The sequence below is a fragment of the Homo sapiens genome, chromosome 8 (assembly GCF_000001405.40).
Source record: "Homo sapiens chromosome 8, GRCh38.p14 Primary Assembly".
Taxonomy (NCBI): Eukaryota; Metazoa; Chordata; class Mammalia; order Primates; family Hominidae; genus Homo; species Homo sapiens.
In genome coordinates this window covers 73313762-73327363 of record NC_000008.11, presented here as the reverse complement: position 1 = coordinate 73327363, position 13602 = coordinate 73313762, and the positions used below count along the sequence as shown (strand labels likewise).

General features: G+C 41.6%; 1 protein-coding gene and 1 long non-coding RNA gene across 2 annotated transcripts in view; one reads left to right on the top strand and one right to left on the bottom strand.

Moving 5' to 3' along the window:
- The window catches only part of RDH10-AS1 (RDH10 antisense RNA 1), a 45556-nt gene that overhangs the window by 29098 nt on the left and 2856 nt on the right, over positions 1-13602 (top strand). The window contains exons 4-5 of the long non-coding RNA NR_125388.1: positions 5277-5624; positions 11759-11798. This is a non-coding gene — a long non-coding RNA (RDH10 antisense RNA 1). The remainder of the gene's footprint in view (positions 1-5276; positions 5625-11758; positions 11799-13602) is intronic.
- RDH10 (retinol dehydrogenase 10) overlaps positions 2083-13602 on the bottom strand; it is a 30680-nt gene continuing 19160 nt past the window's right edge. The window contains exons 3-6 of the mRNA NM_172037.5: positions 8170-8268; positions 6287-6432; positions 4554-4685; positions 2083-4451 (exon numbers count right to left, since the gene is read on the bottom strand). Coding sequence (NP_742034.1) covers positions 4328-4451; positions 4554-4685; positions 6287-6432; positions 8170-8268 — 501 coding nt within the window. The 3' untranslated portion in view covers positions 2083-4327. The remainder of the gene's footprint in view (positions 4452-4553; positions 4686-6286; positions 6433-8169; positions 8269-13602) is intronic.

Below are 13602 nucleotides of genomic sequence, written 5' to 3'. Positions count from 1 at the left end.
GGGCTGGCCACACAGACTCTTTTTCTTGGGCCAGACTGAGGTTTCTTAAGTGTGACTCAGCCTGGGGACTAGGTCCAAGCAGAGGAGATAATTATTTCTAGTCTGGTTTCTCCTTGGGAGGAGAAAGTTCCCTTCTTAACTTTACTCTGTCACCTTTTACACCTTCTGCTGCTGCTCCCCCACATTCCCCAAGCTGGGTCCTTGGATCTCCACTCATTCTGTGCTTTCCCCCTCCCAGGTTTGTTCACTTCACAGCCTCTATGTGGATGACTTCAGGATCCCAGCACCAACCTGTTTCCCGAGGGCCAGGATTATTCGCCTGTCTGCCAGCTATTGTCACCCGGCATCTCAAATGCAACATTTCTAAATCAGATTCACTGTTGGTGAATTCTGTTCTTCCCACTTAAAACCACTTGGCTCGAGGGATAAGCTATCTTCAGTCACCTAGGCTTGCAAGTTCAACCTCCTGCGGTATCGGTTGCTCAGCCTGGGTTTCTCCCTCCATTCCCTATCCCCCTCTCTTGCTGGCCCATTCTTAGCACCTCCCCGTGGACTACTGCAATAACTTCCTTCCTCACTGCTCCCTACTTCTTGTGCCTTGAAATTCTTCACAGCGGCTTCATTGATCCTATTAACTTACAACTCTGCTTCTGTTACTTTCCTGCTAAAAAAAACTTTCTAGGGCTTCTCTCTTCTGTATCAAATGAAGGGCCCATTCCTCAGCCTGGAATGAAGGCCATTCTCAAGATGGGATCTCCTTAGGGAACGCATGTCATTCTCTTCCCATGTTCTATGCTTCAGTCATAATGAGTATAATCTACTTTTTTTGATCTCTGGGCCTTTCCTGAGAATCTGTTCCCCGGAATCTGCAAACTCCCATTCCCAAATCCATCCATTGCATCACCAACCTTCCAGGCCACCTTTCCTTCCCTTACTGAGATGTCATCATACTCTGAGGCTTCATTTGTGGCATGTGCACATAGGTACTTACATGTGTACTTGTGAGTTACCTGCACGCTCGAGTCCCTGGGATGGGCGCTTCGGCAGATGCCTGGTGTGCAAATGCTGACTACATGTGCCCAGGGCCCACATCTCACCACTTCCGAACCATTACATCCTTGCTTTCCCTACTCTTCTGACTCAGGCACAGGCAATACATTTGGCATAGAAAGAATGACCCTGTTCCCCCAACCCCTACTGATCTTATATTTTGCTGGAGGCAAAAGCAAATTTCCAAGATTCAGGTCAATGTCAATTTAGAATTATTTCTGCCAGTTGGAAAAGAAAACATTTTCTTTTAACTTGAGAAAATTTGAAAGCTACAGCCTTCTAAGGAAACAGGATACCTAACACACACACACACACACACACACACACACACACACACACACACACACACACACACACACACCCCAGCCTGGCTTTACGTAGCTCAATCCTGTCAGGCTAATCTAATCTTTTGTGACAGAGCAGCAGACCTGGTAGATCAAGGGGGAAAACAATAGTTGGAATTTATGTTTGTTGGCTTCAAAACTTTTGATTCCTGGGTCCCACTCAATATAATTATCATTAAATTGGTTGAAAGGTTAGAGAAAGGGAGAGTGCCAGTATGAGCTGGGGGTGGTGCTCACAGACAGAGGTGGTGCTCCTTAGGGGATCAGCCTTGAGTGCAGTGGCCCTGAACATTCACATGAATGGGCCAGATGACAAAAAAGAGAACATATTCAAAGTCAGCATTCATGTTAAGGGGTGGGGGCAGGTGTAGATAAATAACCAGCCAGAAAAGCAACCTTGGCAATTACATAAGTGATCAACACAAACAGGCAGACTTGTCTAGAAGAGATTTCATGTTTAGAAACAATAATGCACACAATCAGCAATGTAGCATTAATAAGAACGTGACATTGGGATGAAGAAATGCAACTTGTAGGAATTCCATAGTTCTAAACCTGCATTAACTGTATCCCTTTCCAAACTCCACAGCTAAAGATGGGAGGGAGAATATGGACAACATTCAAGGAAGAGCCACAGAAGTGATTGAACTGGGCTGGGACATGGGAATGAAAGACTTCTACAAAAAAGTTAAATGAATTAGTTTATTGAACTTGGAGATGGACACCCTTATAAGGGCAATAACAAACAAAAATAGAAATAGGTTTAAGTTATAACACACAAGAATAAAATTAGATGTAAAGACGACTTTCCTCAGTTTTAAGGTGGATAAGTGGGTTGTTAAATTATAACAGATTTCTCTAGGAGGGTCTGGTGTACTCCAGGCTCGCTGGGAGGCAGACCTGGATAATCTCTGAGTATATCTGTCCCCACCTGGCATTGTTGAGACCCTTCAGAGTACTTCTTTAGGTCCATGATTGAAAATTAAGAGGCAGCCAGTGCCTCCATTGTTATAAGGGCCATAAGGTTTGGTTATCTTTGATAAAGAGAAATGGAAACATATAACAGAGCTCTTCCTCAAGTCCTGCATTGGGAACATTAGCACACACCAGGACCTTTCCTATATGTAGACACAGTGCAGATTTGATCTGTGGTGCAGCCAAACTAAAACACAGGTCATGGCATTGTTTCCCCACTTTTGGTACAAACAAGCCCTTAATCAAGTCTCTAATCTAGGGACAGTAACATCGGCTATTTGAGTGCAGGCACCCTAGGTTGTTAATGTCTGTTTCCCAACACTATTCCATTCCAATATTTTTCTTTACCTAAAGTGGGATAATGATCATAAAAAAAAACACAATAATTTTCCTTACAACACTGCTGATAACTAATAATCACACAATTGCATGTAAGTTAATTCTTTAAATTTAATCAGTCATTTATAAAACTCCCCAATTAGTAAAAGTTGGCTTATTTTAACAGCCTTAAACATTGGCCACTATTTAAACAAGACATTCTAAAAAAAAAAGCAATCACATAATAGTTTATAGTCATTTACAAGTGGATGGTATACATTTAGATACAGAGGTAGAAGTTCACCTTTACAATGTTTCACTAATACACATATACCAAATTCAAGGCACAAAATAGTTTGCTTTACAAAAAAATACTGTAAAAATGTCATTTGCTGTTCTACAATGTGAATAAACCTTTCAAAAGAATCTTTACACCCTTCCATACATATGCCATAGAATAAGATTTCTTCCTCTCACTAATCATAGTTGGCACAAAAATGGGGACTTTTCAATGTAGAAGTTCCCATTTTTAAAAACTGTTCCTTTGCAGAGCTGCTATGTATTCTAGATAAGAGTCCATCCAAAGAAATGAAACACAGCAACTTCCTGAGGAAAGGGCACTTTCTGTATGCAGCAAAATTCATAGGTAGAAAATGTATGATCTTTTAGGATAATTAGGTCTCCAGACACTTAATGAAGTATATCAGAGATAAAATTAAAAATTCAAGGCTGGGTGCAGTGGCTCATGCCTGTAATCCCAGCACTTTGGGAGGCCGAGGCAGGTGGATCACAATGTCAAGAGATGGAGACCATCCTGACCAACATGGTGAAACCCCGTCTCTACTAAAAATACAAAAATTAGCTGGGCGTGGTGGCGCATGCCTGTAGTCCCAGCTACTTGGGAGGCTGAGACAGCAGAATCACTTGAAACTGGGAGGCAGAGATTGCAGTGAGCCGTGATTGTGCTACTGCACTCCAGCCTGGTGACAGAGCGAGACTCCATCAAAAAAAAAAAAAAAAAAATTCAACTAATACTTTAGTCATTGTGACTTTAAGAAAGAGACTTGGTCACCTTTACTGTAACACTCAGACATCATTTACTTCAGTTGATGGAGATTTCAAAATTCCTTTTCAAAAGAGCTAAACATACAAACACCATGAAAAAGTCACCTAGGCCTTGCAAAACGGAAACTTAGAAAACGTGAGAAAATACAGCACTATCAGTCCTTGAAATTGCGAAGATGTCAACTGGCTAGAGTTTAATAACAAGAATGAGTAAACTCTGGGAATTCTGAAAAATCACACACATGAAACATACAGTCTAGTTATCATTTCTAGACTTCCTGCTCATTAAAAAATAATGGTAACCTGAAGATGTCACACTGCTTCTCTACAGATTTGACTGGTTTCTGGGTTCTGCCTAAAAGGACCCTGTTGGCAACAACCTAAGTTCACTTGTACTGATCACATTTTCCAAGTACTCTAGTCGGTTAATTTACACTTTATTTTTTTAAAAAGTTGATTTAAAAAAGAAACAACACAAGTTTAGAATCCATAAAATGTCAGCAATGCTGATGTGCACTGGACTGAAACATCTTGATCATCTTCTGATAGAAGTAATATTCCATACAAAAAGATTCTTAGATTCCATTTTTTGCTTCATTATTGTTTGTGGCTTGCTTTCTTTGAGCAATAAAGGGGTACATACACTTGTCCGCTCCTAGGAACCGATACATGCACACAACTGCTTCAAATGGTAGGATGCTGAAAAAGGGAAGTCACAGCTGTTAGCAAACTTGAAGTTTCAATTAAGACATCGGGCAGGCATGGAGAGACCCAGTCAGTGAGGGAACCCCTCCCAGTTACCTCTTCATGAAGGTCACGATGTACATGAGGCGGGGAGTGCAGATCATGGGCTGGTCAGTGAGGATGGCCTTCATGGCCTGCTTCACACAGTAATCAGGCTTCAGAGGTGGCAGAAAAGGCTCAATTTCTTTCCTGAAAGTTATTTATTCAAAAACAAAATGAAAAATTAACACAATAGAAAAGACTGGAAATACATATCAAAACATTAACAGTGATGTTATCTGAGTGATGGGATTTTGGGTACATTTTGTTTTCTTCATAGTGCTTTTCTGTATTTTCCAAATTTTCCTGCTATGAACACATTTTATTGGCACAGTCTGGAGAACAAGTTGGGAAAAAAAAGCAAAATTGGTCTGCTTTTCCATAAGATGAAAAAGTCATGTTTTTAAGATGCCTTAAAAGTATTTCAAATTATTTTCCTATGTTTTGCTTTCAATAGAAAGAGGAGAAGGTGTTTGGCATAGCAAACACTAATCTCAAGCAAGATGCCAAGCTTTTAGTATTAGTTGTAGTCAAAATGAGGGTGTAAGCTTTCAAAGTGAAAGGAAGGCCACAGGTATCCACTTTCCAGGATGCCGGAAGAGGGAAAGCTAAGGTATATTCTCTAGGGGCCCCTGAAATGAAGGGTATATAGACATCCTACCTTCAGTTTGATTCACTGGGTTACATGTTGAAATGATAGTGTGCAATTTATTCCTTTCATTCTTCATTTTGCCACCATAGCTTTGGACCCCTGCACCTGCTGCTATGCTACACTGGAGGAAACAGAGCTCCGCAAGACCCTCAGCAACTGCTTCCCAAGTACATAAGAGGAAAACAAAACAAAACAAACCACCAACACACACACATGTTCACACAGACACACACATGTGTGGGATAAGAGGCAGAGCTAGAGTCCATTTTCCAGGTCAGACTTGGGACTCCAAGCCTGACTTTGGAGTGATTCAAATCACCTTCCACCTATTTTGCTGCTTGTTCAGTTCAGTACACGTTAAGAATGGCCCCCAACCAACAGGGAACTGGTTTGGTTATCTTCCTTTGCCTTTCAAACTCACCCAAGCAAAGATAAAAGTAAGCATGTCTTCACAAGCATCCTCTTAATGATTCACAGTTTTGTTTATTCTGCTGAGCTCAAGTCAGATGTAACTTGACATTTATATTCCCATATACCTCCTTTCTATGTGTGTGGGTATTTTATTTCATTTTTCAGTATATCTAAATGGTTCTTCTCATTCTGCCAGAGTGAATCTAGTTACATACGCTTGCTGCAAAAAGGAAGTTTCCAAATCTGGAGTGTAATATTCAATGGTCTTTTCAGAAGAAAGGCACGTTACTCTCTGTGACAGTAACATTGCTTCATATCCAGACCCAAGTCACATGAAGGAATTTTCTTCTAGAATCCTTATTTACCAATACCAATTTTAAAGAAACAAAATAACTCCAAAAGATGAGCTTCTAAGGAAAAGACTGGATACTTATGTTTTCTCTTTACAGAGAAGCCATTTCCTATCTAATGATTCTGGATTAATTTCTGCAAATTAGTATCAGTGTGTAGCACCAGTCTCTCCTTTGCAAATCTTATACACCAATTTTACAAACTTTACAAATCTTGACCAATAAAAGCCACAGATTGTCAAATGATAGTTAAAATACAAGGTTATGTTTGAAAGTCCAGTTCCACATATTCTCCCAACATATTCTTTTTATCAGTAATAATATAGGTTCTCACTGACCTGATTCGGCAGCCTCTGAACATGCCAGTGTCTACAAGATAAGGGCAAACCAAGGTTGTTTTAATTCCATCCTTTTCAGCAGCCTTTAGTTCATGGCTCAGGGATTCATGAAAACCCACAACTCCAAATTTACTGGCACAGTAATCCTGAGTTAAAGAGGGGAGAAAGCAGAAATACTAAGCATATGCCCCTATCTCCAACCAAACTAAAGCTTCCCTGGTCCTATTACCATGTTTAGATGTCTAATACATAAGGTTACAGGTGACTACACAAAGAAAAGGAAATCATTTTAAAAGACAGATACCTGGCTGGGCATAGTGGCTCATGCCTGTAATCCTAGCACTTTGGGAGGCCGAGGTGGCTGGATCACTTAAGGTCAGGAGCTCGAGACCAGCCTGGCCAAAATGGTGAAACCCCGCCTCTACTAAAAATACAAAAATTAGCTGGGCATGGTGGGCCTGTGCCTGTAGTCCCAGCTACTCAGGAGGCTGAGGCAGGAGAATTGCTTGAACCTGGGAGGTGGAGGTTGCAGTGAGCCAAGATCACACCACTGCACTCCAGCCTGGGTGACAGAGTGAGACTCTGTCTCAAAAAAAAAAAAACAAAAACAAAAACAAAAACAAAAACAAAAAAAAAACACAAACCAGATACCTGATGTGGTTCAGTGCAGAAATAATATTTTCAAAGCAACAGCAGAAACAGATGAATACTTTTTGTCACATCAACTAAGTATCATATTACTTTGGGGAAGTTACCATAAAGGATTCTATGAAAGCTCACAAGCTGAAGTTAAAATGGAGAGAGGTTCACTTTGAAGTGTCTGGAAAATTTACAAATGGTCTCTTGTTCAGTAAAGGAGAAAGAAAAACCAGTTTGTTTAAATTAATGCAAGAAGAATAAAGGCAAATCTAGCTTAGGCTATAAATTGTTATGATTTGACTTTCTTTGTAAGGCGAAGTTAAAATGAAAATGATAATCATGCCTTGTAATCTTAAACTAGAACTTAACCTAAAGGCACAGAATATAGAAAAAAAGTTATTGTCCATGGCCCAACTTCAGAAATGGAATCCCTTGATATAGGTGCTATTTAAATAATGTGTCCTTTTGCATATTTGCATGGAGTGATGTTTTCAGTTTTACAGGCATGCAGAGGACAAACAGGATAGAACAACATATATACTCATACTTTATAATCTGAATATCGTGAAGAACAGGGTTTGATGAAATCCAGTTCTACAATTCTACAAACTTACAATGCAGGATACCTGACCGCCTCATCTGATGGGCTAATTAATACAAGATAGCTCAGTTTTGGCAAGGTGACCACAACCGAATGTGAACCTCTGGCCTCATTCTTCTGTTCCCCACAGCTTTCCATGGTTCCATTCTTGGCCCTGTGCCTCCTGCCATCGTCAAGTGAAGCTGCTAATGAAAATGGGCACACTGAGGGCTGGCCCATCTACTTTTCTTGTCGCTGCTGCTTTGTCAAACTAGTGTAAGAGATTTTATGGCAGAAGAGGCAGAAGTCCATTCCCTTTCTTTGTTTTGTTTTAGAGACAGGGTCTTGCTCTATCTCCCAGGCTGAAGTGCAGTGGTGCCACCATAGCTCACTGCAGTCTTGAACACCTGGGCTCGCACGATTCTCCCACCTCAGCCTCTCAAGTAGCTAGGACTACAGGTGTGCGCCACCACACCTGACATAGAATTCCATTCCAGTGGCTGGCCCTGGGTTCCTGTGGAACATTCTACATGCAGCACACATGCAGAGTGCCTTCGTGCAGCTTTCATGAATGGAGGGGCAGCAGGTGCTCTCCTGGAGGTTCTGGTGTACTTATCACAGGATAAACAGATTGAACGAAAGAAATGCTATATATCTGACAAACCTCAACTCCGGCAGTACTGAACAATCCCAAGGAACTTGCAACTGTCACAATATGACCATGATTAATCTCCAGCATCGTAGGAAGAAAAGCCTTAGTGGTCTGAAACAAAGTAAGATTCAAGTTTTAGAACTGATTTCATGAATTTCATCTAAAACCCAGTCCAGGATCACAAAACAAACTTTTATTCACATGATGTTTTGTTTCCCAATTCCTTTAAAAATATTTTATATTTATCAAAAAGATCTTTTAAGTGTCTGGCTAACTTAGCACTGTATCATCGGCATGGCAGGCCTATTATAAGTCGTGACCAACAAGACTGTAACTTAAAAGCTTTTGGGGACAGTGTCTAGAGATAAAAAGAGAGCCATTGGCAGAAGCTTCTTAATTACCTTTCAAGTGACAGTTATCTGCTAATTTAAAGTACTCCCAAGCCAGGTATTTGTTTCTGCTCGTGACACTTCAATGCAGCTATCTCATGGTTTAGGAGGGACCACAGCCTACTACAAACATTGCCTTGTATTAATGTGTGCCTTACGGCGATGTCTACGTAGTAATAGACCTATCAATGAAGAGATACTCCAGCAGCATGCTCTGGGATCCCAAGGCTTATTACCAAAATGTACTAGCAGGAGACAAAGTATTTTAGGATGTAAAAAACAGGCTAAATTATAGAACTATTTTTGTGAAAAACATATCATAATGCCAACTATGCACTGACAAGAACGTGTATCATTCTGAACAGTCACATTCCAACATGGGTTTCACCGCAGGGACTCTGCCACAGATGCAAGTGACTGGCCACACAGTGAGGCAGAGAGTGTGGCACAAGTTCCAGGCTGGGGGACCCAGAGGCCCTGAAACTTGTGCCAGAGGTGGCACAAAATCAGAGGTGGCGCCGATTTCTTACTCACTAAACTCTTTTCTCTCTAGCTCGCTTGCCTTCAAAATGCAAGGCTGTATCAAAAAAAAAAAAATTACTTCAAATTGCTTACGATGATCTATTAACTACTCCACCAGGCTCCCAACAGTTTTATAACCTGCTTCTTAAAAGAAAGCAGCGAAGAGCAATCTGTCTACTGCTGAGTTATCTCCTACTGCCAGCACAGCTTCCCATGATTTATGAAGTTAAAAAAACCCACACAACCAAACACTACAAAGCAGACTTAAGGAAGAGCTGCATTCCCTTCTCAGAGGATTTGCTGGCTACGGTATCACTGAGTTTTTGCATGAATACCTAATATGGGTTTGTGGTTTTTTTTTTTTGGGCGGGGGTGGGGGACAGGGTTTTGCGGTGTTGCCCAGGTTGGAGTGCAATGGCATAATCATAGCTCACTGCAGCCTCGAACTCCTGGGCTCAAGTGATCCTTCTGCCTCAGCCTGCCGAGTAGCTGGGACTACAGGCGCACGTCACCATGCCCAGCTAATTTTTAATTTTTTGTAGAGAAGGGGTCTCATTATGTTGCCCAGGCCAGTCTTGAACTCCTGGGCTCAAGTGATCCTCCCATCTCGGCCTCCTAAAGTGCTGGGATTACAGGCGTGAGCCACTGCCCTTGGCCTTATCTAATTTGTTATAATTTTTGTGTGTAAAGATTGAAAACAGCAATTCCCTTAATTCTGATGTTTTTCTGTGCTCCCACCAATTATTCATACAGGTGCCACATGAATTTTTGTGAAGTATCCCAAGGTCTTCCCCAGTCATCATGTAGTACCCCACTCCCAACTCACACCCTGTTTGAGTTTCCTCATCAGTACCCATGAAATGCTTATTCTCACCTGTGGCATTTGACCCATGAACTCTTCTGATAATCTATCCCAGACCCTTCGTGTGTAAATCAAAGTGTAATATTCATCACATATTTATATAGTCTCTCATGCTTTTCAAAGCGCTTTATGTCACTGGAGCCCCCTAATAATTCTTTACTGAAGGTAGTTAGGGTGTTAAACCTTTATCTAATATTATTCTAGGCCAGCCTGACTTTGTCTACATTTCTCTAAGACCTATAGTCAGTACCATTTACCTTAATGCGATTATGTGTTTTATAGTGCTTTGATTTTGATTGTCTTATACTTATTTGTCTGACTGTCCCAGACTAAGCTGGAAGACCCAGATCAATCTTCCAAATATTAAGGGAGAATTACCTTGCTACACTGAGACAGGCACTGTGGAGGAGAGCTAGTGATACGGTTTGGATCTGTGCCCCCACCCAAATCTCAGGTCAACTATAATCCTCAATGTCAGAGGTATGGCCTGGTGGGAGGTGACTGGATCATGGGAGTGATTTTTCATGTATGGTTCAGCACCATCTCCTGGTGCTGCTCTAGTGATGAGTGAGTTCTTGCGAGATCGGGTTGTTTAAACGTGTGCAGCCCCCACCCCCTCGCTTCCTCCTGCTTCTGCCGTGTTTATTGCTGCACCCTCTTTGCCTTCTACCATGACTGAAAGCTCCCTGAGTCTTCCCCAGAAATGGAGTAGAAGCCTCTATGCTTCCTGTACAGCCTGCAGAACCGTGAGCCAATTAGACTTCTTTTCTTTGTAAATTACCCAGTCTCACGTATTTCTGTATGGCAGTATGAGAACAGACTAATACAGCAAGTGAACACACTTCTCATTACTGCATTGCCCAAGTACACTGCTGAGGAAGAGAGACACATGTTTCAGCTTGATTGTATTTCTTTGTAGTAGTAAAAACAGAAAGAGTAATTATGACAGTAATTATTATTTTGATCTGTTACCAGAAAAAGTCAAAAACTGGTACTTCAGGTTATTATGGGTTCAACTTTAGGCTCTATAATTTATACATGGGTATTATATCACAGAATTGAAATAAAGTAACATCACAATGGAATTTATATATTCCAATCTAAACTAGAAAACAGCTGGGCACAGTGGCTCACACTTGTAATCCCCAAGCTTTGGGGGAGGTTAAGGCGGGAGGATCACTTGAGCCCAGGAGTTCAAGACCACCCTAGGAAACACTGTGAAACGCTGCCTCTACAAAAAATACAAAAAATTAGCCGGGCATAGTGGTGTGTGCCTGTAGTCTCAACTACTTGGGAGGCTGGGGTAGACAGATCGCTTGAGCCCAGGAGGTCGAGGCTACAGTGAGCCGTGATTGTGTTATGGCACCCCAGCCTAGGCGACAGAGCGAGACCCTGCCTCAAACAACTAGAAAACATATCCCTAAGTAATCAAGCCTATATGTCTTTTAAAAGTATCTAGTTATGATTAATTGTTCCCAGATTAGCCAAAAAGTATAAAACATATTATTGACGTTAACCAGAGATCATTTTTAAGTTTTGAAAATTTGCCTAGTCTTGGAAGACAGCAATAAACTTAACATAAAGGGTCTTAGTTATCTTTCTGTATAAAAGTTAAAGTATAAGGACTCAATATTAAATCCTAAGAAATTACATCCAATATCAAATTCCTATCAGAACCTGCTACTTGGTTACCTGACAAATCTGAATCACTCACTCACGTGTCCACTCTAACTCCAGCCAGCGGCTGGCTCTGACTAGAAACTCAGACACCATAGCAGGTTGGCTGTAATGACTTCCCTGTATTCACGTGCTCTGGTCTTGCCTGCAGGTATTAAATGACTAATCCAGATCCCCAGCACCACATCAAGGTAGGTGACAGAAGATTAACAAGTTCCTAACTGTTCTTTAAGTGTAATTTGTTGCAACGTTCTGAAACTGATTAATATCCCCTCCCCTTCTTGCCCTGAAATGAATCTGGTGGTATTAAATTAAATAAAATAGTTCCAGTTTGTCCATAAGGAGGGTAGTATGGCTGCATATTCTAAAAAATGTGACGTGGGGACACACTTCCACCTGTGGGACCCTCCCCCCACCCCCAAATTGTCTGAAGAGGAGTTAAGCTAGTGGTTTAAAGGAAAAGGAAGCAAAAAAGGGCGAGGGGGAGAGAGAGAGGAGGCCGGTGGGGGGAGAGAGAGAGAGAGGAGGCCGGTGGGGGGAGAGAGAGAGAGAGGAGGCCGGTGGGGGGAGAGAGAGAGAGAGGAGGCCGGTGGGGGGAGAGAGAGAGAGAGGAGGCCGGTGGGGAGAGGAAGGGAGAGAGAAAGAGAAACCAAACAATCCAGATATGGCTATGTGAAAAAAATCTTTTCCAACTGTGGGCTATAAACATTTGGAGAAATATATTCCAATTTTAAAGAGTAAAGTACGACACATGCTGGCTGGTTGTAATATGAAGCTTTCTTTTGAGAGGGAGATTATTTGTTTTGTTCTGTAAAGCACAGGTGAGTCAATGTTCAGTTTAAAACATGTGATTTCTTTGCCTAATCAAGGACAAATCTGGCCTTCTGTATAAATTAAATCCAATGTATCTTTGCATTTTCCACATTTTTAAGACAAAGATCCATATTTTTTATTTGAAAGGCTCATTAATTACAGGCAACACTGCAATTACTATAACAATCACTCACAGCGTCAACAACCACCAAAGAGCTGCGCGGAGGGAACTGAGAGGTGAAGAAAGCTATCCAGGGCCGCTAATCAGCCTGAGATCCCAGACGGCTTGTTTCTAAAGCTGGTGTCAAACATTTACTCAGCTCTGCTCTGTGTCGGGCAAAGGCAGGCTTGGGGTAGGAGCACCCACATCAGGACCACTCGGGTTTCTTTTAAGCCTGTGCTCAGGTTCCCGCTGGAGCCCAGTACACGTGACTGAGCACGAAGGCTGTTAATCATTTCCTTTGCTGCCTGAATAGAGGCGAGCAATTACTCCAAACTCCTGCCTTATGTCTGGGGCGCATTATTAAATAAACTTTGATCAACATGAATTCTATTCCATACTTTGCAAGAAAAATGCTATAGTTGGGTGACTAGAAAGCATCACATTTTCAGGAATTTTCCCAAGTAACCTGACTAGTTTTCTTTTCTAATTACTCTTGCCCTCAACAGTCTGGTAGATGACATTTGAGATAGCACAGCATATTCTGTCCTTGACACTGCTTGACAGCACAAAGAAATCTGGCACTTTGCAATGAATTATTAATGTGCACAAATATTGTAGCATGTATGAGATAGAGACCAGCAAAAGGTGAAGTGCTAGTTGCCATGACACCAGTCAGTTCAAGCTAAGGTTCATAATCTTTAACTTTGTCTCAAAGAGTCGTCAGAAGAACATAAAGGGCAAATCTGAAACACACAGCCAAACGGCTTTGGTATAGATTAATGCCTGTGACGCATGGGTGGATCTGAGAGGGCAGCACAGATAATTTGCTGACCAATAGGACTGCTGTGTTACATCAAGTATAAGGATGGATAGATCAGGAGTTATCATCTAGTAAAGGGGTCTCTAAATGCAGTACATGTGCTCAGTCTCCAGAGTGAGCTGGTGCCCATGCTGGTTGGCAAGGTTTGCTAGATGCTAAATGTAAGTCAGAGAATTGCACTCTATTGCAGTGTCCTCTT